The 26,924-nt window shown below is 37.0% G+C and overlaps 2 protein-coding genes and 1 pseudogene across 6 annotated transcripts in view, besides 2 other annotated features; 1 reads left to right on the forward strand and 2 right to left on the reverse strand.

The window, feature by feature from the left end:
• Nucleotides 1-26,924, forward strand: part of NT5DC1 (5'-nucleotidase domain containing 1) — a 148,645-nt gene that overhangs the window by 9,932 nt on the left and 111,789 nt on the right. For both annotated transcript variants that reach the window (NM_152729.3, XM_006715378.4), the window contains exons 4-6: nucleotides 66-172; nucleotides 4,907-4,986; nucleotides 7,077-7,161. In NM_152729.3, coding sequence (NP_689942.2) covers nucleotides 66-172; nucleotides 4,907-4,986; nucleotides 7,077-7,161 — 272 coding nt within the window. The remainder of the gene's footprint in view (nucleotides 1-65; nucleotides 173-4,906; nucleotides 4,987-7,076; nucleotides 7,162-26,924) is intronic.
• The window catches only part of COL10A1 (collagen type X alpha 1 chain), a 98,236-nt gene continuing 79,436 nt past the window's right edge, over nucleotides 8,125-26,924 (reverse strand). For 3 of the 4 annotated variants that reach the window (NM_001424107.1, XM_011535433.4, NM_001424106.1), the window contains exons 2-3: nucleotides 14,555-14,723; nucleotides 8,125-11,177 (exon numbers count right to left, since the gene is read on the reverse strand). In NM_001424107.1, the coding sequence (NP_001411036.1) occupies nucleotides 9,289-11,177; nucleotides 14,555-14,708 (2,043 nt within the window). In that variant the 5' untranslated portion in view covers nucleotides 14,709-14,723 and the 3' untranslated portion in view covers nucleotides 8,125-9,288. Of the gene's footprint in view, nucleotides 11,178-14,554; nucleotides 14,724-15,268; nucleotides 15,349-26,924 lie in introns of those variants that run through there. The other variant, NM_000493.4, reaches the window with a different exon arrangement.
• Nucleotides 13,923-14,092: an enhancer, noted in NCBI's record as "experimental_88070 CRE fragment used in MPRA reporter constructs". NCBI's record gives its function as "activates a minimal promoter by MPRAs in K562 erythroleukemia cells, with activity observed for both the introgressed and non-introgressed 6:116445955 variant alleles {active_cell/tissue: K562}" and the evidence as "EXISTENCE:reporter gene assay evidence [ECO:0000049][PMID:34662402]".
• Nucleotides 17,382-17,676: a silencer, noted in NCBI's record as "tiled region #2872; K562 Repressive non-DNase unmatched - State 24:Quies". NCBI's record gives its function as "represses a minimal TATA promoter and a strong SV40 promoter by Sharpr-MPRA in K562 cells {active_cell/tissue: K562}" and the evidence as "EXISTENCE:reporter gene assay evidence [ECO:0000049][PMID:27701403]".
• Nucleotides 26,077-26,848, reverse strand: NIP7P3 (NIP7 pseudogene 3; annotated as a pseudogene).

Below are 26,924 nucleotides of genomic sequence, written 5' to 3' on the forward strand. Positions count from 1 at the left end.
AATGATAGAGGAAGGGGCATTCAAGGAACCATTAATGAGCAATGTGCCTCCTCTCTCAAAATCAGGGCAAGCCATGGCACCAAGATGATGACTCCAGAGGTGCTGGCAGAGGCATATGGCAAGAAAGAGTGGAAGCACTTCTTGTCGGACACTGGAATGGCTTGCCGCTCAGGTATGACTCAAATGAGGCAGCTCCACCATCCGCTCCCTGTTTGTTTTGTACCCTAAACCTTTGATGTCAGGACAAAGAAGACCCCCCTTTCCCCTGCTGGGCAGGATGCCAAAGGGAGCAGCTTCAGCTTTATAGCAATAGGATGTATTTTTTCCAAGTGTATTTGACTTCTGTTTGGCAGATGGTTCAAAATACTGTTCACAGAAGATTTTATTGGCACTCCTTTTACCTGTACTTGTTCTGGTTTAAAGATTAGCACTTAGGAATAATACAATCCTTAGTTGTCCTGTATTTATCAGTTTTGTTTTGTCCTCAATCCTTACTTTTCTTTCTCCATCTCTGATTCCTCCAGGCATTCACATTACCTACCACTCCTATTTTCTATGATTATCTTCCTTACTGCCAGTTTAGTATCATCTGCCTTTGTCTCTTATTTTCCTGTTTTCCAGATGATTTTAACTATTTTTATTTTCTACTGCCTTTAAAGAGTTTCACCATGGGTAAACATGAAATGATTTTTCAGAAATGATTTATAGACATAGATGTGCATAATTAATAGGGAATAGTTAAATGTTTTTATAAATAGACCTTATTAAAAATCCTAATTATTAGTTTTTTTATTTGTTCCAATTTTTTTGACCATTTTGCAGTTTTCTCCCACACTACAGTATTGAATTGCACCTTTTCTCCTTCAGAGAATATAGTAACCTGAAAATAGTTGCAGTTACTCCTTGTTCCTATTGTGTTTGCTTTGTTATATTTGCTATCTTTTGAGAGTTCTGTTTTGTTTGCTTGTTTGTTTTTATAGCGAGCTGAAAATGTCAGGAAGTATGAGTGCTCTTGATAAAATTAGTTGATAGGAGAAACTAAGATTTCACACTGGGGTTAGATATAGAATGCCTTTGTATACCTATCAAGTCAGATGGGAGGAAAGCCTCTTACTCAAATGATGGTCGAGAACTGCTGTTGTCTCTCCAGATGTTGGCAGGTGTAAACAGGCTCTTCCTTTCTCCTGGAAAAGCCAGGCACATAGCTGAGTGTTTCACTCTGAAATTTATTAAGAATCCAGAGTATTTTAAAGAATAAAGTACCCAGCTGCTAAAAGAGCATTCACTCAGTAAGACACATCTGTTTACCCACTGTTTCGCCCACTAGAGAGCGCCACCTCTTGGAATCAGTAGCTTCATCTGGCACTTACTTGGTCAGGAGCCTTCTGAGAATGGTCCTGGGAGTTTATCTGTACCTACTTGGGTTAGTTAGGGAAGTGTTTCCCATCCAGGTACCCAGTGGTCAGGTTGTGACACATAATAGAGGCCCATTGTTTTTGCAAAATGAGGGAGAGCTAATGCCTTTAAAAAATAATATGAGTTTTTTTAAATGTAGAGAAGTATGGAAGAAGGAAAAAAATGGCCTGTGATACCACAGCCCAATTAAAGTTTGTTTACGTTAAATATTAATCTCAGCACATGGTTAGAAAATTTAAATATTATAGAAATGAATAGAAGGAAGAGTAATTGTCTTCAACTCCTGTCCTATTTTTTAAAGGTATACAAAAGGAATTATGTATTTACCTTGCTCTTTTCAATTTACATCTTAGAGATTCTGGCATCAGCACACACACACTAGGTACACTTAGTTCTTCTAAATGCTGGGATGCTCTGCAATTCAGTGCCTGTATCGTGATATATTTAATCAGGCTCCTAGCAATGGACATTTATGTTGTATCTGGTGTTTCACCATTACAAACAAGCCTGTGGTGATGTTTTCATGAATGTATATTTTGCACTTTCATACATATATCTAGGATAAACTCCTAGAAGTATACTTGCTCTAAAGATATACAGGTTTAAAATTTTGGTAAATATTGCCAAATAAGTCCTTTATTTTCAGGAACTCCAGTTGATTTTATATTTGTAGCTTTCTTCTACCTTTAAGTATATTAATCCTCAGAGTTAAGAACAGAATTGTAAAGTACATGCCCTATCAGTACATTTAGGAAATTTAAAGCACTGAGGGATGTAGAGATGTTTGATGACAACTTGTTTGATAATCTCTTTTCAGGTTGTTGACCTAACATAAGAACAGTGTTCCTTGCCAGCTGATCTCCAGAGAGCAAATCCCTTTGAACTTATCTTCCCCAAATGGTAGATTATGCAGAAACAGCTTGGTCTAGTGGAAATCACAAGGGGCTTAGTGCCAAACAGTCCTGGATCATATTAGCTCTGTTATTTGCTGGATAAAGTGTCTCTGGTACTAAGTCACTCTTAGCATCAGTTTTCTCATCTTTGAGTGGAGATAATACCACCTTTGCAGAAGTGAGAACCTTTGTTAACATAAATTGTTCCTTTCCCCTCAGTCCTTCATTTGCCATTCTACCATGGCCACTAAGACAAAGGGAGTAGGGTTGGTAGTAGTTTCTTGGGGAGCAGTTTTTCTCTGTGTAAAACTTAATGGTTATAGGACTTGATCTTGATTCAGAGGCTTGTTTTGTTGAACTGGGCTCACTAATCACTTCATTAGCAATGAGCTGTCTCTTCTATACAGAGGTGGACGTTGAAGCTTTCATGTGGTGTAGTGTCAGAGTTTGGGTGTTGGGTGAGGCATTGCAAGCAGCCTGGCCCAGTTAACAGCTCAAGGCTGAACAAGCCCTTGTGTCCACACAGCGGACATTCAGCCCAAGTTCAACAGTCAAATGACCTTAGCCTCTTGCATTGTGGGTGAAAACCAATGAGCTCTTCTCATTAGGTTCCCCCTGAATTATTTAATTAGAACTCAGCCCTTACTCAAAATCAATAGTTCAACTCTTAGACTGAATTTCATCTATTAGTACCCACAAAGGAAGAAGAATGGGAGGAGAAAAGCAAGGGTATGTAACTGGCAATGCTGGGATGCTTCCTGCTCCAACAGTGCCTGAGACAGCTGACCATGAAGTTGGGTCAGTCTAGTGTCAGGCCAAGCGATATGACAAAGTGCAGATTAATGAACCTTGGGAAGCTTTGCCCACTGTCCTAAGTCTTGGGAGTCCTGGAGTGTCATACAGTCCTACAGCATAGCAAAGCAGAGGCAGAAAAGCACATGGCATATCATCTTCCTTTTTTTCCAGATCACTGGTTCTTCACACTGGCAAAGCCATCCTAACCTTTCTTAGGAATTAAAAACAGCCTGAGAGGTTCCCCTAACAATTCAAGCTGTGAAAAAATGAAAAACAGGAAGACTATATCAACCAAAATATTTTTAACTGAGAGAATGGACACAAACTGGCACAGCCATTTTGTGAACTAACAGAAAACTTTGATTTTTTTTTTATACATTTTAAAATAAATTTACAGGAAGAAGTAAGAGGCAGAAAACAATATTCAGAGGAACAGAACCCTGGCTTCTGCATATGGTTTTCTTCTAATTTCCTTATAATACTTCTGCATTCCAAAGTAATCTATTTGCTTATTGGATTACTCATTCATTCATTCAGCAAACGTCTATTGAGTGCTTAGAATATGCTGAACACTGTGCCCAGTCAACGCTAAAGAACAAGACAAGTGTGTTCCATAACCTCATATACATAGCTTGCAAATTGGGGGGAGGGGGGGGGAGTCAAAATCAGGTGATTATAATGATGTATTCAAGCACCTTATTATTAATGTAAAATCTGGCTTTACCTATTGGTTCTGTTTGACTCTTCTTTGTATCAAGCGTTCTCTAGGGAACTGTATGAGGTTGGGTTCCCTCAAAAGCAGAGTGGTTACTCCTGATCCCAGTAGTCAGGAGTGAAGGAATGAGAGGATAAGACATGGAAGGAACAATGGTTGCTGGACTCCATTGGGACTTCCAAGGAGAAGCGCAGAGAATACCTCCTAGAGTTGTCTGTCCATGGAACAGGAAGCAGGGCATTCTTTTACTGGTTCCTGAACCTGTTCTAAATGTGAAGTTTGCCACATGGGCTCCAGAGCCTTTGGGAGAAAGAGAATCGACACAGTTTTGCCAAGGTGGGATGGTGCTATTAGCATAGCAGTGGCTGCAATCAGACGCAGGCCAAGGGGATGTGACATGGGTCATCAAAAGTGTCTGTTCAGGGACAGCAGATCCAAAAGTCACATGTGCCAAAGAAGGGCTCAAATGTAATTCTACCCTAAAGTCATACAGAATAAACCAAATCCCTCTCTTCCACGAAATCTTGGAATATACCTGTCCTATACTCTACAGTTTTTAAGCACACTGTGTCTTCACATGGCATGATTATATTCTACTTATCACCCCAGTTTTTTTCACATTATACTGAAATTAAATGGCATAAAAATAGAATACAGTACTCTAGGAGGGGTCAGCCAACCAATCTGAAAAAGCACTATTGTATAGAGCGCTTCATGGTACTCCAGGGTTAGGTAAATTGATTGTTTTGAAATTCAGTGACATAGATAACATCATATGGCTTTTTCATATTCTATTTTATTTTTTGCATATACTCTTTTTAGTTTTTACATTCTTTAAGATGACTAAAATATCTTCGAATACAATGCTTAACTTCTAGATATCATCTTTTAACTTTCTTGTGGTGCCCTCAGAGCTTAAATCTTTCTTAAAAGACAATGACAGCCAATAATGGTGCCACTTTGAATTGGAATGGAGGCTTCTTCAGATAATTAAACAAAATCTAGTGTCTCTTCAGCCATATTCCTGTGTATTTCACATGCATGCAGCATTATGTTGTTCCCAGTTTAAAATTTTGTTCTTTTTTAGGAAAGTATTACTTTTACGACAACTACTTTGACCTGCCAGGAGCTCTTCTGTGTGCCAGGGTGGTGGACTATTTAACAAAAGTAAGTGGGGACTCATTTTTTAAAACTATGATATGTAGTCAGTCATAAATTGGAGGACCTAATTATATATTGCTTCTGAGTTGTGATTTTGCTTAGTTTCTTCTTTGTGGTTTCAGAGCTGACTGGGAAAGAAAAACATGGTGAATTTGGTTCAAATATTTTTGGAAAATTAAATAGCAGTGACCTTTTTTTTTTCTCTCAGGAAAAATAAACCTATTCTCCAGCAGAGGGGGCAAAAGTTTAGAAAAAGAAAAGAAATACAGAACTTGGATCTGGACAAAACATTTTTTTTAGCAAAATAAATAGTTTCATTAGCAAAATAAAAAAGTTAGAGGTGATTAAGAAAATTCAGCGTGTCTTTAAGCATTCTAAATAATATAAAATAGAAAAATCGGATGAAATTTAAAAATTCACCATTTTGAACATCATTTAATGAATATAAATTTTTTCTTTTGTACTGTATATCAAGATTAAATAGATCTCTGGTTATACTAGTTTATCCTTAGGACTTAAGACCTATGAACATCAAACAGATTTATATGTCAGAATCACTTTCCTTTATGCATGTCTTTTAAAAATAACTACTTTTGGGGCCAGGTGCAGTGGCTTACGCCTGTAATCCCAGCACCTTAGGAGGCCAAAACAGGCGGATCACGAAGTCAGGAGTTCGAGACCAGCCTGGCCAATATGGTGAAACCTTGTCTCTAATAAAAATACAAAAATTAGCTGGGTGTGGTGGCGTGCACCTGTAGTCCCAGCTACTAGGGAGGCTGAGGCAGGAGAATTGCTTAAACCCGGGAGGCAGATGTTGCAGTGAGCCGAGATCACGCCACTGCACTCTAGCCTGGGCGACATAGCAAGACTGCGTCTCAAAATAATAATAATAATTACTATCATTTTGATAATAGAACCCAGGTAATGCTTTATTTGTGAATCAGAATTACATTTATGTGTTGTGAAAGTTTCCATTGAGCAATAGTTTGGGTATGTTTGTAGAAATCTTAATAACACAAGATGGAGTCAGTTTCTCATTCGGTAGTTACTACAAGGAAAGTGTATCAGTCTTTAAATATTTTGGAGTTTGTATAATTAGATATAAATATCTAGTAGTCTGTCTTTGTTTAGATAGGTCACTGGTTAACATTTTCAAGGAAGCAAAGGATCATAGGGTTGTATATTTTAATGTAATGTTTATTTGCTTTCTGATTTAAAAAAACTTAATGAAAACAATTTACAGTTCGGATTTGGAACCTCATTCATCTCTTCTGTTGAGACTTGCAGCTCTTTCATATCGAAATTCAGGTTAAGTGTGCACTGAATTCTAAAGTAACTAGCTTTTGGGGTTTTAGGGCGTCAGTCTTCTTAGTCCCATTGATGCCATAGTATGTTATATAACACATTCTGATATCCCAGAAATTATATAACACTATGAATTTGCTGTGTTTAAAAATATTCTATAATTTTTAGACTTTATAACGAGTGGAAATTTTTATTTTATTTGGGCTATATGAGCTATATTAAAATTTAGTGATATGTATGTGTATATGTAGCAGTGATTTTCATGGAAGATTTCTTTTTAAAATTACATTTAGAAGAATGATAACTTTATTATGTTTTGTAAAATATAAACTTATATCAGAATATAGTAATACAGATGCTCCCTAACTTATGATGGGGTTTTTTCCTGATAAACCCATCGTTAAGTCAAAAATACTATAAATCCATTTAATACACCTAGTTTACTGAACATCATAGCTTAGCCTAGCTTATCTTAAACATACTCAGAACACTTCCATTATCCTACTGTTGGGCAAAGTCATCAAAAGAAAGCCTATTTTATAATAAAGTATTGAATAGCTCATGTAATTTATTGAATACTGTACTGAAAGTGAAAAACAATTGTTGTATGGGTACTTGAAGTTAAGTTTCTACTGAATCTTCATCACTTTTGTACCATTATAAAATAAAAAAATTGTAAGTCTAACCATCTTAAGTCAGGGACTGTCTGCATTGTAATTGTTTGCCAGCATTTTTCACTATGCTTAAAAACTGAATTATTGTGTTTGTTTCATTTGGAATTATTTTTTCAGCTGAACAATGGTCAAAAAACATTTGATTTTTGGAAGGATATAGTTGCTGCTATACAACACAATTATAAAATGTCAGCTTTTAAGGGTAAGTATTGTGAAGAGGGGCCTTCTAATACGTGTTTGTTAAGCTATGTTTGTCTAGTGAATTAGCTGAAAAGTAGGTACTTTGCTGTGTATCTTACTTAGGATTTAATTTAAGCTTAAATATTATTATAAAGTTGGTTCTGACTACATTTTCAGAAGTCCTTTTATTTGTGCTTCTTTCATGGCTATAATTGCCCATATTCCAAGCTGTGCTGTTACACTCTCCTTTACCACGCCTGCCACGAGGGTCATTCTGTGAGTTCCCTAGAATTGAAGTCCAGTTTTGCTTTTTCATGGCCTGGGCATAAGGGTTGGTGACTTGTAACCATTAGTGTAGTAGTTATAGACAGGTGGGCAAAATGTCTGCCGGCAGAAATTTTGTTCTTGTTGCTTAAGGAACAAAACTGGCTGACCCAGAGTGAGGGCAGAGATATCACCAATCTTGAGCCCAGAGTTTTACCTTTCCAATCACAGCTTTGCTTGGATTACACAAGATTGCTTCTAAGGAATAAATAGATGCCTTTATAGTATGTTACCTCAGTGACTTGAGCCACATTGTCCTGATTAAACTAATAGGATGATGGATTCTTAAGAGTAGTATTTTTCAGCTTGGAAAAAATGTTGCCTTGTGATTGACAAAAAAATTGCTTGCCTTTTTAAAATGTAATTCAAGCCATCAAAACAATTTTAAATATTATAACCAAAAACATGTCAAGACAATAAATAGTAACTGCAGAATATTTGTTCAAACTGCATATTTCTCTGTCACCTGCTTCTTTCCCTCCCAGGAGAAAATTACAACTTTGGGGTGATTTTGTCATTTTTCTATCCCTAGTCATCAGCCCTTGACCCTGACTCAGATTGCATGTGGTTTTGTGGGTACCTCTTCACAGTCAACAATGAGTGGTTGGGTCTGTGGGAATAAAGATGCATCACCAATATAGGGACATATCCATGACAACTGTAAAAGCCACCCATCACTTTATTGTCCTACTTTTTTATTAACTTTGAACAATGAAAAGCCTTGAAAGAATGGTTGAGAACAGCAAATTGCTGCTTTCAAATTAATTCAGCCTAAAAATCTATTGATGTTATTTTATTGCGTCGTAAATAAGGAGTAGGTAAAACATTTTGTGCTTTAATAAGTGAGGCACAGCTTAAAAGTTTTAAACAGCAATATAAAAATACAGTACAGTGCATAAATAAATAATATATCTCCACTTCTAGTCGAATTTTGAAACCCTCAGTGTAAATTATAACTTCACTTGAATGGGAGGCACAAGGTACATGTGCTAATGTTCTGTAAATCCAGAAAATCATATCACATAAGATTCAATAAGGAATTAAAGAAATCAAATTAATCACACTTGTGTTAACTAAATAAGAATAGGTCAGATACCTGTTTCCAAGTTATGCTGGGTATATAAAAAGCTTCTCTGCAATCATAGAAAAGTTTGAAAAGGTTCATTGATGAAAGCACCTTGCATTTCAGATGAACTTCAATATTTTGGGGCTTTTTTATATAAGAGCTTTAACAAGTATATATGCACCTGTATATTTGAATAGATATTGATGAAAGGGGCCATACAGGCCTCAGAGTAGTGCACCATCAGAAATATTTTAGGGGATACAGTGTCTTTTAAATTTGAATATTCAAGTATTTAAGTTCTACAAAGTTATATGATACCTCCTGGATGTTTCCTAGAAGTTCTCATATTCATAGTTAGAAACAGGCTTTTTTAAAAAGGAAATGCCGAGTTTCTCAAATCAAATTTCACATAACTTAGAGCTCTATTTCTGTTTTTTTTTTTAATTTTTTTTTTGTTGTTTGTTTTTTGTTGTTTGTTTTTAACATAGCAGGACTTCTTTGGTGATATTTTTTAATATTGGAGAAAACCTTAAAGAGCCTTAAGATTGCTAACTAGAAATTCAAGAGAGGCTTCACATACGTTTTTACGTTGCTGCTCACTTTTCAGGGGGAAGGTTTGTTGGTCTGATAGCTCAAATCTGTATTTCAGAAAATAAAAATTACATTCTTTTCAGCCTACCTCCATATGCATTTTGTAGGGTGGGGTAGAGTTAGAGAATGCTTTTTCTAGCACAAGATTTAGATTAGCTCTGTGTGTACTCACATTGGAGCCACTAGGAATCCTGAGAAAGAGGAGTGGACATACTCAGAGGAGTATAGGCCATTTGACTCGGCATTGGGAAGCTGGAGCCACACCTGGTCATTTTCTGTGAGATCGATGATGGCACTCCCTGAAGCCTGATCCAGGTAGCCTTTGGTGTATTCATCATAGGTGTACATTACAGGGGTGCCATTCTTATACAGGCCTACCCAAACATGAGTCCCTTTCACATGCACGTGGTATGAAAAATAGTATATTCCTGGTATCTGACAAGTAAAGATTCCAGTCCTTGGGTCATAATGCTGTTGCCTGTTATACAAAATTTTATCAAATGGTATGGGAGTTCCTATTGCTGGGTAAGCTTTGGAGAGAATAACAGTAAAAGCAGACACAGGCATTCCTGTTACCCCCTGGTTGGCACTAACAAGAGGGGTCCCAGAAAGACTGGGCCTTTGGCCTGCCTTTATAAAACCCTCAGGCATGACTGCTTGACCTGGTGGGCCTGGAGGCCCAGGGGGCCCTGGAAGACCAGGCTCTCCAGAGTGGCCTCTTGGACCTGGAGGCCCTGGTGGCCCGGTGGGTCCATTGAGGCCCTTAGTTGCTATGCCAGCTGGGCCAGGAGGACCGGGACTTCCTGGATCCCCTTTAGACCCAGGGAATCCTGGAATGCCTGGTGGCCCAATAGGGCCTCTAGTACCTGGTATTCCAGGGGCACCTCTTGGGCCAGCCTCTCCATTGTGTCCGGGCATTCCCTTTGCTCCTGCTGGGCCCACAGGGCCTGGGAGACCAGGAGGTCCTCCAACTCCAGGATCACCTTTTGGACCTGGTAACCCTGGGTTACCCTTAGGACCATCGAGACCTGGTTTTCCTGGGTACCCTGGTTTTCCATCTGACCCAGGGGAACCCCTTTCACCCTTAGCCCCAGGGTATCCTGCAGGCCCAGCTGGCCCTGTCTCACCTTTAGGGCCTGGGAGACCATGGCTACCCGGGATGCCTTTTGGTCCTTGGGGTCCCATATTCCCAGGGGGTCCAGTCAGACCTGGCTTCCCAGGAAGACCTGCTGGCCCTTGTTCCCCTTTGGCACCTGGACCCCCAGGAAGGCCAGCAGGTCCTCTTTCTCCCTTCAGGCCTGGCAAGCCTGGTTTCCCAAAGCCAGGAGGCCCTGGGGGCCCAGCTATTCCTGGAGCCCCAGGGAGACCTTTTGTTCCTGGAATCCCTGGCTGGCCTGGGGCTCCAGCAGCTCCTGGCTTTCCAATGCCTTCTGGCCCTCGTTCCCCAGGAGGGCCTTGGGGACCTGGTGGGCCAATTGGTCCCATTTCTCCCGGAAAACCTCTATCACCTTTGATGCCTGGCTGTCCTGGAACCCCATTTTCACCTCTTTTTCCCACTCCAGGAGGGCCAGATGGTCCTGTGGGACCCTGAGGGCCTGGAAGACCCCTCTCACCTGGACGACCAGGAGCACCATATCCCATTTCCCCTTTCTGTCCATTCATACCAGGGACTCCTGGTGCACCCTTTTCTCCAGGAAAGCCCCTGGGTCCTGGGGCTCCTGTGGGTCCCTGTTGTCCAGGTTTTCCTGGCACAGAAATTCCAGCCGGTCCAGGGATTCCAGGTGGTCCTGGTGGGCCCCGGGGTCCTGGTAGGCCAGCTGGTCCAACATCTCCTTTTGGTCCATATGGTCCTCTCTCTCCTGGTTTTCCTGGGAGTCCTGGCACACCTGGTTTCCCTACAGCTGATGGTCCCGGTGGTCCTGGCAACCCTGGCTCTCCTTGGAGTCCAGGACTTCCGTAGCCTGGTTTTCCTGGTGGTCCAGAAGGACCTGGGTGCCCTCGAGGTCCAGCAGGGCCTGGTGGACCAGGAGTACCTTGCTCTCCTCTTACTGCTATACCTAAAAGACACACCCAACACACCCACCCATAGAAGGGGATGGTTAGTGACATTAAAGAGAATCATTGCCTTTCAAACTATGAATTGGGACACGATATTTCAGCATCATTTATTCCATGTAGACAGAACAGTCTGAAATGGTTTTAGATTATATGTTTTATACTGTTTTAAAAAATTCTGCTGGAGAAGATGGTTTCACAAAACCATGGCTACCATAATACTTTTATCCCATGACAGTGATTCATGAAAATGAGCTAGGATTGAAGAATTCCTCTAGAATAAGTGCAGTGGAGGTAAATTTAGTACATTTATTTTGGGAAAATCATGTACAGAAAAGGCAGAAAAAGACAGTGCAGAATAAGTGAGAAAATGTTTAAGAACTATAAAAATTTTCCCTCCCAAAGCTACCCTGTCAGACATAAAAGAGAAACAGAATTAATTCTGATTTACATCTGCCATGCCTCTGCTGAACACAGGTTAGATTTTGGTTGATTTACTTTTACCTCAGAATATACTCTGAGCTCTTATACTCTCCATTATTGACTTAAAATTGAAACAAAGAACTAGAGAATTAGACATAATAGGTGAGGTACATAAAATAGTATTAAAGTTCTTACCTAAATACAAATATATAGTGTTTGATTTCATAGAGCTGTGAGTTCACTTGACCTGATAAACTAAACTTAAACTAAAAATCATAGTGCCTGTGATGTGAAAAATGCGGCTGGGCCACAAGTATGGGGAAAGCACAGGGTACAGATGTTTCTGAGATTTGGAAAACATTTGGTGTATATAAATGCAGAGCGAATCATTAAAATAGATATGCCGAAATAGGAAAATAATTGTTTCAGATTTAGATTTTTTTTTACTAATTAGAGTTATATTTCAATTTGAAAACATTGATTAATATAAATACATAGAGCTTTCCCCATGGATTTTCAGAAAATGACATCAGGAAAAAGACTGTGAGAAAAATTTATGTAAAAGATTTCCGTATATTAAATATTTCATTGATTGTAGTGTACATACATGATTATATTATGTATAAGTGGATATTGATATATTGCAAATAGAGGAATAAATAAGGAATTTTTTAATGGGTTGGAGGAATAAAATAGTGGATTTTTTAAAATGCCAACTATGTTAGATTGAGCTTTGCTTTAGAATCTGATTATAAGGGTCATGTTCACACTAAAAATAATTGTCTTAGTCTGATTGGAAATCTGTTTTACTATTAAAAAGGAGAAACAAGTCAATGGAAATGAGTGCATTGGGCGTCATCCGAGACTGGAACTCCAGTGACAGGGCGAACTTTGTCACTTGGAATGTTGTCCTAATGGGTCTCAACTTCTCAGTGCGAGAAAGAATTTGGCTTCTATTGAATGCTTGGGGGACAGCCCCTGTTTGTAGGTTGTCATCTGAAAAAATTTTCTTCATTCAAGATTAGGGTGGCACAATCCTCAAGGTAAAACGACTACTTCCTTCTATTAAGTTTTTTAAATGCCACAAACTGAAATCGTGATTGGTTGTGTCAGAATGTGGCACGTGCATCTGCCCACCAGCTGTGGAATCCTCTGCAGCATAATTTAGTATGTTTTGACAGAACTCTTTTTTAACCTGTGTTGGATGGATATGCCTAGGAATTATGTAATAACTCTTTGAATTCCTGTTTCAACTTAATGTCTTACTTGTATAGACTGTGGGCTTTTGTGTTTGTTATGGTGCATTAATGTCTGCCAATGGATGATAGTGTAGTTGAGTGTCTATCTAAAAAGAGACTAAGGTGGATTTAGTAGTTTAAATACAGCTTCTGAACTTTTCATTTGTTAAGATATTTTCATTTGTTCTGCAAAAGTAGCCAAGATAATGGTGTATATTAAGAGAAGATCAAAGTATTTTTAACCTTCTAAAATAGTGCATTTTCTTTTTAATTCAAGACTTTGTTATGCTCTTATTAAGGTGTTAAAAAGTCTGATTTTTGTGATCATGGAAACTATTGAATCCAGTGCTGTTTGTCATAGCATTTCAAATTGTGTTTGTTGCTTCAAGTAAAGCGGAAGGTTGCTTTGTCTTTTATTTTTTTCTTTACTAGCCTTTAAATTTTAAAATTTTTATTTATATTTTGAGACATTCAAAAGTATCTGTTGTATACCTGTGCATTTATTTTCAAATATTAAGTTTCCTTTTGTGAAATATTTTAAATTCCATCTTTCTTCTTAAAAAGACAATTCTATAAGTTTCATTGCTCAAAATGGTTGTTCCCAAAAGCATAATATTTAAACTTTATAACAAATATCCTTAGCTTTATTTACAGTATAAAATATATAATTAAAAAATTATGGAAAGGGAGTTTGAAGCCTACAGTCAGTTTATATTATTCTGTAGATATTTTATAGGCGGTCGTGTCAGTTGCTGTTAAATAAAATTAGTGAATATGAGGCCTAGAAGTTGCCCTCCTTTGAGAACCTTAGTGCTTTACATATATTATCTCAGTAATCTTCAAAGAGTAACCAAGAAAACTGGACAGGTAAGCAACAGATTCAAGAAGAAAGTTAACTTATTGAAGGCTATATTAGTAGCTAAAAGTAGTAGAAATAAAACTAGGAGTAACAGAAGTAGTAGTAGAAGTAATAGCAACACTTAAAGCACTTTACAGGTATTAATTCATTTAAACTTCGCAGCAGCCCTTGAGATAGCTGCTCCTTATTTTACAAATGAGGAAACTAAGGCATGGGAGGACAAGTAACTTACCTCAGGTCACACAGCTTATGCATTACAGTTAAGTCTCTGCATTTTACCGCTAAACTATATTCAAAATGTATAAGTAATTATGAGAATTGCAGTTTCATTTGCCTGCTTGGCAATTCTCATAATTACATTTGTTCATTGTTGGGGGGGAGGCCATCAGATTTTTTTGATAAGACTCGGTTTTATATCTGTTTGTGGGCTAGTTGAATTAGTTTTAAAAGTAAATGTTTAATATTTAGCTAAATAAACCAGCTACCTTCTTTATACAATTGGCAGTTATTTTTAGCTTAAAATTTTTAAACTTGATTAGTTTTGATTAGATCAAGATTTCTGGATTACATGCAGTTATTTGTGCAAAAGCAGCATCTGAGAAAAAAATTTGTACACACAAAAGTTCTGATTTTTTGCAGGTATATCTTTCAACTATATTTTCAAGTATATCCTTTCTACTACACTTATTGGATATTCTTGTTCTACTTTTTTCACAGATCACTTTGTTGTAATAATTTGGGCTAATTCAGAAGTTGGAAAGTAACACCAAAGTTAAATGCATTTTGTTAAAGAGATTATTAAGATTATAGAAAGCAACAAGCAACTTGTTAATAGAACAAAATATACAATTCAATTTACCTTTACTCTTTATGGTGTAGGGAATGAAGAACTGTGTCTTGGTGTTGGGTAGTGGGCCTTTTATGCCTGTGGGCATTTGGTATCGTTCAGCGTAAAACACTCCATGAACCAAGTTCAAGGATACTAGCAGCAAAAAGGGTATTTGTGGCAGCATATTCTCAGATGGATTCTGAAAAACAGAAAAGAATAACTTTATACAGCATTGTTATTAACCTATTTTTTTATTCTCATGTTTCACAGATGAGTTCTTTATACAGTTATCTACTTTTTTAACCTATCCTATATATTTTTAATATGTGCCATAAATAAATGAGAGATCATTTTTTAGTTATGTGAATATATGTCTTAGTTATTTTTGGAAGCTATACTCAGGTAATCAAGTGAAAATAAAATGATTTACCTAAAGGAAAAGAAACAGAAATTAGGATTGGATGTCTGTATTAAATAATCTAGGATCTTTGACATAGCCTGAAATATCTAATAGTTTCAAAATACACTGAAATTCGGATTAGGGCAAATTTTTACAATATGGTTTTATTGGGACTATCATCCACAGACTGATGCAAAAAGAACTTTTGGAGTGCATTTTAGTAGAAACCCATTTTTTAAATCACTTTAATACTTCTAATACTTGAGAAAACTCAAGTATTTAAATCTTTAAAGTTTCTTTCCAAGCAAGTTAACATGGAAGTCCACCAGTAAGCGTACGCTTACCTGCGTGCTGGGAGTTCCTGGAGATGGTGCCTTGGCAGCTTTCTGAAGCTTCCTCTGCCCAGATGAGCAGTGCAGAAGGTGCCTCTCAAGAGCTGTTCAGTGGTATTTATACTGTTTTTCCCTTACTACATGAGGTTACCCTGAGCTTAAGCTCCTCCCCTCAAAGTTGGTAAGCACTAATTATGGTGGAAAGTTCTATTGGGTAGGCACACAAGATCGGGCTGGGCTCTCCTTTTCCTTGTTTTCTTATTTAAAAATAAACCCATTGTCTTAAATATATATTAATAGTTTTAACCAAGGACCGTCTTTGTCTGTGATTCTATTTTATTAATTAATACTCTAGTGTTCAGGCTGGTTCACGGTGGAATGATGATACCCCCTTTTTATTTTTGAAAAGCACATTCTTATGTTAATTGGTTGATATTATATAATATGTGGTAGTACATAAAAGCGGATAAAATTCCTTGAAGGGGGTACTGGATTTAGACCATCATCTAAATTATTGAGTTATTACATAAAGTTATCAATGTGTCTATTAATATTCATAAATTTTTGTGAAAATAGCTGACCCCAATTCTTAATTACTTTTAGGCTTTTAGGATTTAGATCCCTTATTCACAACACTACGCTATATTCAGTAAATGACTTCAGATTTTCTTGCTTAAATTTGGGTTTACTTTAGAGTTGCAGTAGAGTTTGCAAAAACCCCTTAATTTGATAATCTCATATTATGTTAATTTACATAAGATTGCTGTGTTTATTTCAGGAGAAAAAAATTTTCAAACTTTGCTTTCAGCTTAAAAAAAATATTATTGGCTTAACTTGCAGTTAGGAATCATCCCAATTAGAAACACTTTCCCTCAAAGGTGGAAGTAAACACTATTGTTGTCAATTTTGGTAGTTAGACTCTGTTTAACAATATTAGGAAGCCTTTAAAATCAGTTTTTAGGATCCTAAAAAATCTAATAAAGGTGGGAAGTTGAGAGTCCAAATTTTTCATCTTATTTAATTTCATCGTTTTGAATCAAAATCAAATTGACTATGCAGGTGAACTGGTTGAGGAGGACAATTCCATACACAGGCATAGACACATCATTTTTCTACCTCCACAGAATTAAAGTAGTATGGATTCAGGACTAATCAATAATTGAAATAATTGAAAGTTTGACCAGTGAATGAACTAAAGATTTGTCCTTTTTCTTTTCCCTTTCTCTCCCCTTCAAGCAATTTTCTGTATTTTAAACAAAGCCTTGTATAGCCCTTTATGGAAATGTAAATGGATAAGGCATCTCATTGCCTCTCTCCTCTTGCTTGTAAGCATTTTGTTGATTGCCATATTAAAAAAATTTACATTGTTGTATATATCTCTGTATAATACTCATAGATACATATAAAATATGTTTCTTATAGCAGTTTAGAATAACAAAATAGGAAAGTTTATAATTCATCATTTGGAAATTATATATGGAATAGCTTTTGTAATTATAATATGTACTCTGCTACATCTGTAGGAGACTACAAAAGATAAGTGAGAGAAAACACCTGCCTTTTGGCTTATGGCCCATTTGGACACAATTTTGAAAAAGTAGGTGAGGTAACTTTATGGATGCTTTTGAATGCTAGGTTGAATTTGTTTTGAAAGGAATTATTAAAATATATATTTTAATATTTTGTGTGTATATATGGTGATACACATGCACACACATACTGCTATTTGCTTATAATTGAGACTGATACCCTGTTAGTTATCACTCGTGAACGTTCAGAAGACTAATTCTCAGCTCTTAATACATAGTGCTATGCCCCTGTGTATACCATTTGTTCATCTGTGGCTATTGCAACAATTTTCAGAGCCTTTCACTTTAACCTCTCTGGGTGTCTGTTTTTTATCAACACAATGAAAAGTTTGGACTAGGTGGTTTCTAAGCTCCTCCCAGTTTTAAAATTAGATTATTCCTGTGCTTGAGGTATTCTGCTGTTCTCCATGGTCAGATGGTAGACTTGGCTCCAGTTAGTACTTATTAGAGACACAAAAAAATCCATACCAGGAGGTTGTATGTCTTCTTTTAGGGATATGTAAATATATGTGGGTATTTGTCATTCTATACTCCCCTTTAGTTTTGGAAAATGTGGTGTCCTTATTGAATAAGCCTTGGACATTCAACCCTTTTTGCAAATAGTGTACTTATTTCAGCACAAGGAATCTGACTGCTGTTTGCTTTGTTAGTCACATAAGAAGCACTGTCTTGTCCAAAACAGATTGTAGAATCAGAATATTTTCTAGCCACACCCCACCCAATTGTGTATTTAAAACTATTTTTACTCTGGGTGTTTACTTGTAGCTGTTTGAAGTGACTAGTCTGTGGCTTTATGAAGGAAACCCATTCCACTCAAAACAGAGAGCCATACTCTTTAAACTCTATAACCTGAGTAATTTTTTTAAATATCAAATATGAATAATGATTTTTTTCACATCTGGCAGTTAGCTACTATTAAGCTTGCCTATTCATTTGTACATCTGTGGATCGTTAATTAATTCACCTTATGTTTCTTAAGTGCTTCTTAAGTGTTAGACATTAAGATAAATACTGGGTGAATAATATATATTCTATACCCTTAAAGTGTTTACACAGTGGTTCTCAGCCTCTTTTCCCCACTCCTGCTGTCCTGAGGGAAATGCACAATTCCTTCAGCCTTTGAGGTTCATTAAAATAGTGGTGGTTCAAAGACTATATTTTCATGAAGCTCCTCAGGTGATCATGATGGCCTCCTAAGTTAGAATGTATAGTCTGATATCAGTGTTCTATTACCACCTTGTTAATATTAGTTACATTGGTTTTTGTTATTTGTGTTCATATGCTTTTTAAACTTTTTTACAGAAAACTTGTCTTTTATAGTAGTGAGAATAGTTACAATAAATGCCTATATGCCTGTCATTCAAACTGATCTCAACTCGCTGTCACTCAATTCTCTTTTCATTCACCACTCCTTCAAATTTTGAAGTAAATCCCATATATTGTACCAATTTACCTGTGAATATTTTGGTATATTTTTCCAGAAGAGAAGGAGTCTTTTTTCTTTAAAACAATGTCATCATCGTATTAAAAAATCAGCCATTTCTTAATATCATCAAATCCTGTAGTTCACATACATATATAGACATGTATATACACAAACATATGTATACACATGTCTATATTATATAGAAACACATACATACATATCCACATATATTTTTTATTGATTGATAAATTGTTTGTTGAAATTAGGTTGATTCATATATCCCTGTTGTCATGGTTTGAATGTATCCCCCAAAGTTCATGTGTTGGAAACTTAATTCTTAATGTAACAGTTTTGGCAAGTGGGATCTTTAAGAGGTGATGAGGTTGCGAGGACTATGCCCTCATAAATGGATTAATGTTATTGTGGGAATGGGTTAGTTGTTGTGAGAGTGGGCTTTATATAGAAGCAAGCTCGGCCCCCTTTTGCTCTCTTGCACACTTTTGCCCTCTTTTGCCCTTCTGCCTTCTGCCATGCGATACTACAGCATGAACGCTCTCTCCAGATACCGGTGCCATCCTCTTGGACTTCCTAGCCTTCAGAACTGTGTGCCGAATAAAGCTCTGTTCATCATAAATTACCCCGTCTGTGGCATTCTGTTATAGTAGTGTAAAATGGACTAAACCTGTTACTCTAGGTGTCTTGTGTCACTTTTTACTCCCTTGCAGTTTATTTGTTGAAAAGCCGTGTCATCTGTCTCATGCAATTTCCTGTGATCTAGAATTTGTTGTCACTTAACTTGCTACTGTGGAGATTGGTAGTTAAATCTAGAGTTTTCATCTGATTTCAGGTTTGAGATACACACATTCACTCACACACAGATACAGCACACACAAATACATTTTTTGGCAAGAACCCTTTACAGAGAGTGGTATGATATACTTCTGTTAGGAAGCCCTTAATTGCTGGTGTCTCTTTGGTGTTACTGGACATTGGTAATTGCCTACAGTCAATATTTTATTATAGGTTATAAAATGATGATATTCTGATTTTATCATTTGTATTTTATTTATTAGCTAGGATATTCTCTATAAAGAAAAACACCCCTTCATCAACTATTTGATTACCCTGAAGTACAGTGTGTATAGAAAAAGCAGGAGAAATGCCTTTACCAGCATTTAGAACAATAAGCTGCTCCCAGCATCCTCCACAGGTGTAGTGAGGAAAGTGTGTGTGTTTATCATTATAAACATTCAGTTTATAATGTATTGTATGTGTTTCAGTCCGTGGCACTTATTAATCTTACTATTGTTCAGAATTTTTTCCCCATTTTTGGCCAGTGAGAGCCTCTCCTCTACCAGTTGGCTCCTGAGTTCTTTTGACCATGATCCCAGTAGTTTTTTTTATAGCTTCTTTCCTTCTAATGTTTTGTACCTTTCGTGGCCCAGATCTACAATAAGACATTTCTCCACAGACTCTTAGTTTCTTTTGTGGGAAATAGAAACCACAGTCTGAGTGCCTGGATGTCTGGGTCCTAGGGATGCACATTGCTTCTGGGTTGGTCATTCTATCTAGTGAACAGCTAAGAAACGTATGCACAGGGTGTTCATTAAATATAAGATATATGATAACATTTTACTGATGTAGCCAATGCACATTCAGGACCACAGGTGTTTACTTAATGACCTCAATCTTGTATCTGTAGCTGCTTGGTCCCATGCTAAAAACCCTAGTACTCATGCCAGTAATATAGTTATTCATTTGTTTATTCCATGATACTCACAATTTCTCAAAATAAAAATACCAATATTCGTACCAGAATATTGAAAAAAAATATAAGCCGTTTGATTATGTTTGCAATTCTTTTGGTATTTTCACTAGAGCTGCATTACTGTGCTGTAAAGTCACATGACACAGTTGATTCAATGTGGTAATACTGCCCACTCAATTCACTGTTAGGTTTGTTTCATTTTGCTTTCAATTTTTATGAATGCTCTTTTTAAATTTAATTTGTTTTATACTTTCATAAAGTACATATGTTTTCTCTGGTGTTCGGATATATGTTTAACAACCAACCTGAGGGTGAAGGAGATGTGTTTGCTGATCTCCGTGGTATGGTCAGTTTCCAGAAAACCCGATCACAAAATACCTGAACATTCACCAAGAGCCAATATAAGCCAGCTCCAGCAAACATTGTATATTTCTGAAGTCAAATTTATAAAACAAGGAATATTCAGAGAAGGGTAGCCTCTGTTACTGACCTATCCACCCTGTGTTTCACCTTCCTTCTGTATGTAACTATTTTTAAAACATTGTTTTGATTTATCCTTTTTATTAAAAAATGTATTATTCATTTATATCCCTCCCAACTTCTTAAGTAAATGGCATCACAGTGTACATACTTTATTTTGTAAATGACTCAGTTTTTCTTGACCTGAACTGCAGCTTTATTATAGATAACAGTTTATATTGGAGATCATTGCAGAACATTGTGTAAAGATGGTCTGCATTCCTTTTTACAGCTTCATGGTACTCCATTGTATAGATGCACCATAGTTTTTTCAACCATTGCCCTATAGGTGGACATCTGTGTTATTTCCTGTCTTTTGCCAATACAAATACTTTTTTTTAACTTTTAAATTCAGGGGTACAAGTGCAGGTGTGTTACATAGGTAAACTTGTGTCATGGGGCTTTATTGTACAGTTTATTTCATCACCCAGGTATTAACCCTAGTATCCATTAGTTATTTTTCCTAATCCTCTTCCTCCTTCTACCCTCCACCCTCTGAAAGACCCCAGTGTGTGTTGTTCCTCTCTATGTGTCCATGGTTTCTTATCATTTAGCTCCTACTTATAAGTGAGAACATGCAGTATTTGGTGTTCTGTTCCTGTATTAGTTTGCTAAGGATAATGGCCTCCAGCACCACATGTGTTTCTGCAAAGGACATTATCTTATTGTTTTTTATGGCTGCATAGTATTCCATGGGGTATATGTACCACATTTTCTTTATCCAGTCTATCATTGATGGGTATTTAGGTTGATTCCATGTCTTTAACACAAATACTTTATAGTGAATAACTTTGTGTGTGGGTGTATATGTAGCCTGAATGTCTTTGGGAGAGAGTCATAGAATGGGGATTCATGGCCTTGTTTCCCCTCAGCATCACCAACAGGATATGTTGTTTAGATTTTGTTGAACTTTTTAATTTTTGTCCACCTTAGAGGTGAAAATTGGAATCTCAGTCTAGTTGTAGTTTTCATTCTTCTTACTGAAAGCATGGTTGAGTATCTTTTCATATAGCTTAGACCATTTCTCTAGCCTACTTTTCCTGTACATGTTCTATAACTTAAACCTCTGTTCTGTGATATAGTTTTCACATATTTTTCCCAGTTTATTTGTCTTTTTAATTTGCTTATGAGTTTTTTTTTTCATGTAAAACTTTCTTTTAAGGTACATATGTCTTTATTCAGAATATTATTGTTCTTTCATAGACTCAGCTGTAAGGGGCAGGAAAGTTCATCCACATCAATCATTTTATTTTTCAGACAAGGAAACTAGTTTATTATGCACATCCCCTGGCCTAATGTTTAACTGAGTTACATTTCTGATGTGACAAGCTGTTGGCGAGAGAGCCCACTGAGGGAAAACACCAGCGACTGGGCTAATGTGTTCACCCCCTGTTCTGGCAGGATACTGACTTTCCTGTTCTTCTAATCCTTCATCCTTTTAGGGTAGAAATGGGAAAAGTGCCGAGAAGTTTAGTCAGGGCACCTTCCACCACCACCTTGCTGTACCTCATTCCTCTTGAAAAAATTTTAAAAGAACATTCTTAGGTGCCATTATAGAGCCCAGAAGCTAAAAATGATCTATTTGTGTAAATAGTCTAATGTGCTTTAGTGGTTAGATACCTGCTGAGAGTTTGAAAAGAGAAATTCATGCATAAAAACAGGTGTTTATGAAAAACCCCTGAAACGTCAGATCAGGTCAAGAAAAACTGAGAGTCATTTACAAAGTTTTAACAAGGGCTTTATATTCTGTTTTCCGTTATACACAAATTGCTACATTACTTGAAGAGCTCATAGTTTCGTGCGCCAAGTGCTTAATGACATCACCTGCTTTCCATAGTAACCCAGCTGAGTTAAAAATATAGAATGTCTTGGCCCCTTGACCTAAGATCTTCAGGGATCTTGGCTACCCAATGGGTTCTCAACCATTCACACATGTTAGTTCCTACTCTGTTTACAACTTCAGCTTTCACATGCAGTTTCTGCTAAGTTGGAAGGAGAAATTATAGCAAATTAAAGTGTTAATTAGAGAAGTCACAGGGTAACACTTTTTATTTAGATCTCTTTGTTCCTCTGTTTGCCATCGTACTTGAGAACAACTCCACAGTCACCATCTATAGTGTACAAAGTAAAGTACTTGTAGGGTACACGAGTACCTGTAGAATATTAAGTACCTATAGGGCACCTGAGTACCTGTAGGGTCTGTGTGGCAACACAGACCACCAAGAAACCCATCGTCAAAACGGATACTTATGCAGCTATTTAACTTAATCATACTAACAATGAAAATACATCCCAGTAATGCTGGGCCCTTGTCTGTTTAGCCATTGATCAAATAATTGTGTTACCTCACCCACAGACCTCTTCCCTAATAGTGCAAAGATGCTAAGTGAGTCTTCCTGCCATCCCTGGTTCCTGCCTCTTGCCCACCAGTAATGCTGACCAGATCACCTGGCCTTTTTGCACCCTGGTTTCCTCTTTGCCTGCTTTCTTTCATATTTTAAAGGTAATTGCTATTTGGGAAAAATGTAACAAATAGAAAATAAAATGTATATACTATAGAGATATAATAACCATTAATAGTGGTTTTTTTCCCCCAGTGATCTTATTAGTGCTGAAATTCTTACTATCTTTAATAACTTATGAGTCAAAAATAACTCTTGCCACTTATGATGCTAATCAGGCGGAAGTTTAGACATGCTGTCATCTTCCCCTACTTTCTCTTAATTTTATATGTTAGGATCTTTGGAAAGTGAAATGACACATAAGTGGCAAAACAGTGCTTGGGAATGCTCCACAATTGTGATTGGTGATGATGACCATACTGGTGTCAAAGAGGTAAATATCTCTGATATTAGACAGTCTTCTCAAATAATTGTCAGACTTTTTCTGACCCTCTATGTATACCAGTTGCCAGGTTGGGTTCTAGGAATCTGGAGCAGGAGCTACTTCCTGCTGTAGACTCATGGAGATAAACGCCAGACACCAAAGCCTCTTATGGCCTCTGACTTCTTTAGTGTCTGTGTGAATCTATCTTCCAAATCATGAAATGGTGTTTTCTCATACTTTATACTCTTTCCTGAACGTAATTCAAGGACTATGGGTTATTTATTATTGAAAATCCACTCTATACAAGTAGTGCCTGTTATAAGGCATAGACCTTATAAATGTCCCTGAATGAAGGAACTAAGAGCGTCAGGACATCAGATTTCCATGTTTATTGAGGTGGATGGTTTGCCTCATGCTTGTGGATGCCCAGGGATAGGGCCATTCGCATGGTGCTGGTTTGGACCTGAGTCTTTCCAAACCTTTCCTTACCTTAAAATAATAACTTGGAATTCTTGTAGAGGTCCTAGTATTAACAACTTCTTCCCAAAGTAGTTTTCACAAAAGAAAATAACCGTGGTTGCTGTTCTAGTAAGTGTGTACCTTAAATTGTTCTACTGGCTGGCTAATAAGTTAGAATTTCAGAGATTTTTCAAAGACAGTTTTTCTGAAAGTAGGCATGGTAGGAGGATATAGATGTAAGAGGGTAGGTTCAGGTTGGGCCTGAGATGGAAAGAAAAAGGAGAAGAGCCCAGAATCTTGGGAGTTTAGAGAGATTTCTTTAAATATCTCAGAAACCTGAACTATGAAGTTTCAGAGCAACAAATAACTTTTTAGACATAGCTATGCTTCACTTTCCCATTATCTTTTACTCATCTGTACCCCATTTACTTATTGATACATTGATTTATTCAACTCTTCAATGTATTAAAAATATATTATATGCCAGGAAATAAAAATGGGCTCACAGACTACTGATATCATTTATTAGTTCTTTCCCTGCTCAGCCTACCTGTTAGCATCTTCTCTTGAATGGAAATACATATATGACCCTTAAAGGGGGAAGATGTTATTATTTGGGTTGTGAGTATTAGATAAATATTTTAGAACATTCAAGTTTATAAAATGAAAATTGGAGAATTGCATCAATATCATTAAAATACGAATATTAGAGCTGAAAGAGATACTAATCCAAGTAAGTACTAGAAAATGATATTTCATTTTTTTTCTGTAGCATCCATAACCGCCCCCCCCACCTTTTTATTTAACAACTCCATGTGAGTTCTCTAGATAATATTGGTAGAGCCCTCAGTTCTGCTTGTTATTCAGCAAAGTTATGCTTGGACAAAATTAACTTTTTTCTCATTAAAATCTTAGGTAATATTCCATTTCATTACTTGATGAACAATATAACTTCTATTACCAAAAGCATTTTGCACGAGCTATATTTAATATTTACTCTAGACTCATTGGACTTTAATTCAACTAACAAACATTTTTTTTTCCTGATATATATGCTGCTGGCAGTACTCTAAACTGTGGATCAACATACCCATCCCTGGTCATAGTTTCACAAATACTCAGCTTAAAAAATTTTTTTTCTGGCTTTATTGAGTTATAAGTGATAAATTAAAAGTATATATATTTATGGTATACAATATATTTTCAGATATATATATATATATATATATATATATATATATATATACACACATACACACACATTGCTAAATGGTTACCACAATCAAGCTAATTAACATATCCATTACATTGGTGAGAACACTTAAATACCTACTCTTTTAGCGTATTTTAAGTATATGATACAGTATCTCGAACTATAGTCACCATGCTGTACATTAGATTTCATGAACTTATTCATCCTACGTAACTGAAACTTTGTGCCACTTGAAAAACATCTCCCTGTGACCCTCCACTCTGCAGCCCTTGGCAGCCACCATTCTACTCCCTGCTTCTATGAATTTTGACTTTTTTAGGTTACACGTATGAGTGAGATCATGCAGTATTTGTCCTTCTGTGTCTGGTGTATTTCACTTAGCATATTGTGTTCTAGGTTCATCCATGTTGTCAAAAATAGCAGGATTTTCTTCTTTTTTAAGGCTGAATAATATTACATGTTGGTGTGTATGTATGTAATATGCACACTTTTTTTTTTAAAGGACAAGGGGGCTGACACCTGTCATTTCCCAGGCACTGTGTTACATGCTTTATAATCATGATTCTTCTAATTCTAAAAACCATTCTTAGGTAGATGGTTATAGCTATTTTTTTTAAGTTTTGTGGGGTTTTTTTTAAAAGAAGAAAATGAAGCTTATTAAGTGGAATGACTCATCCAAGGTCATTTAGCTGGTAGGCGGCAGAACTGGGGTTTGAACCCAAGTTTTTCTTCCACACCACATAACACTTACTATAAATTGCTGTTATTATTTGAGTCAAATTTCATTTGTGAAATCTCAGATGTGACTTACTGTTCTGATATGGCAGTATCTATCTTTCATATTAATAAACAGATAAAAATCCATATGCTGTTATCATGAGTTTGGAAAACAAAGTGTTATCACAGATAACAATAAGCTATTCTTGGCCTTAGTTCCAACGGTTTGGAATCTGTTACTCAGAACAAGAAGCCCTCAGATTCAGATACGAAACAGAATATTTAGTCACAAATGCAAAAATCTGAAACCCCAATTTTGAGCCATTTCTGTACAAGAAGAATCCAGCCTGTGTTTGTCGTGATGGATAGTATATAAACTAAGAAGACCTGAAGAGGTCATAGTGTTGACAAAATTCAACCCGATGGTGGAATACACACAAACACAGGAAACAAAGCTGGGCCTTTCCACACCACTGTTAAGTCCTTGCAGTGACTTCATTTTAAGTCACCGTCTCTTCATGCCACACATATTCACCAGTGTTTGCTTGATGAAATACCACAAATCGGTGGGGTCTCCTTTTCTGCAGTCTTGCGTAGATGTGGCTGCCACCCCAAAACCCAAAGGGATGTCTGCCACCACCACTTCCTGGCCAGGAGAAGTATTTTTCATGATTTGACTCAGACCAGATTTCAACATATCGTCTCCATATAGAAAGGACTGCTGTGCTCCAGGTTTTATCCACACTTTATACTTGGCATAGGGTGCAGGGTAATCCAGAGCTGTGATGTTCAACTGAAACTTGTAGGTTTTGGTGAATTTTCTGAAGCAGGTCACAGGGAAATCAGATATCAGTGCCAGCTTCAGAATCTTCTCACTCACGTAGTACACCTGGCCTTTGTGCAGCCGAGAACAGTAGGTGCCATTGAGCCTCTCAGCTGGCAGCTAGAGATTCTCCCTAATGTATTTCACAGTCTCCTCAAACATTACATGGGTCTCCTCTTTAGTCAAAGGCTGCGTTTTCCCACTGGGTTGGAACACTGGATCCCCGTGCCTCAGTAGTGGGAAACAAAAGTCCCACATTTTCTTTATCCCTTCAGCCATCAACAGACACTTAGACAAATGCTATTATTTACTGAACCAAGATATCTTT

The sequence above is a fragment of the Homo sapiens genome, chromosome 6 (assembly GCF_000001405.40).
Source record: "Homo sapiens chromosome 6, GRCh38.p14 Primary Assembly".
Lineage (NCBI taxonomy): Eukaryota > Metazoa > Chordata > Mammalia > Primates > Hominidae > Homo > Homo sapiens.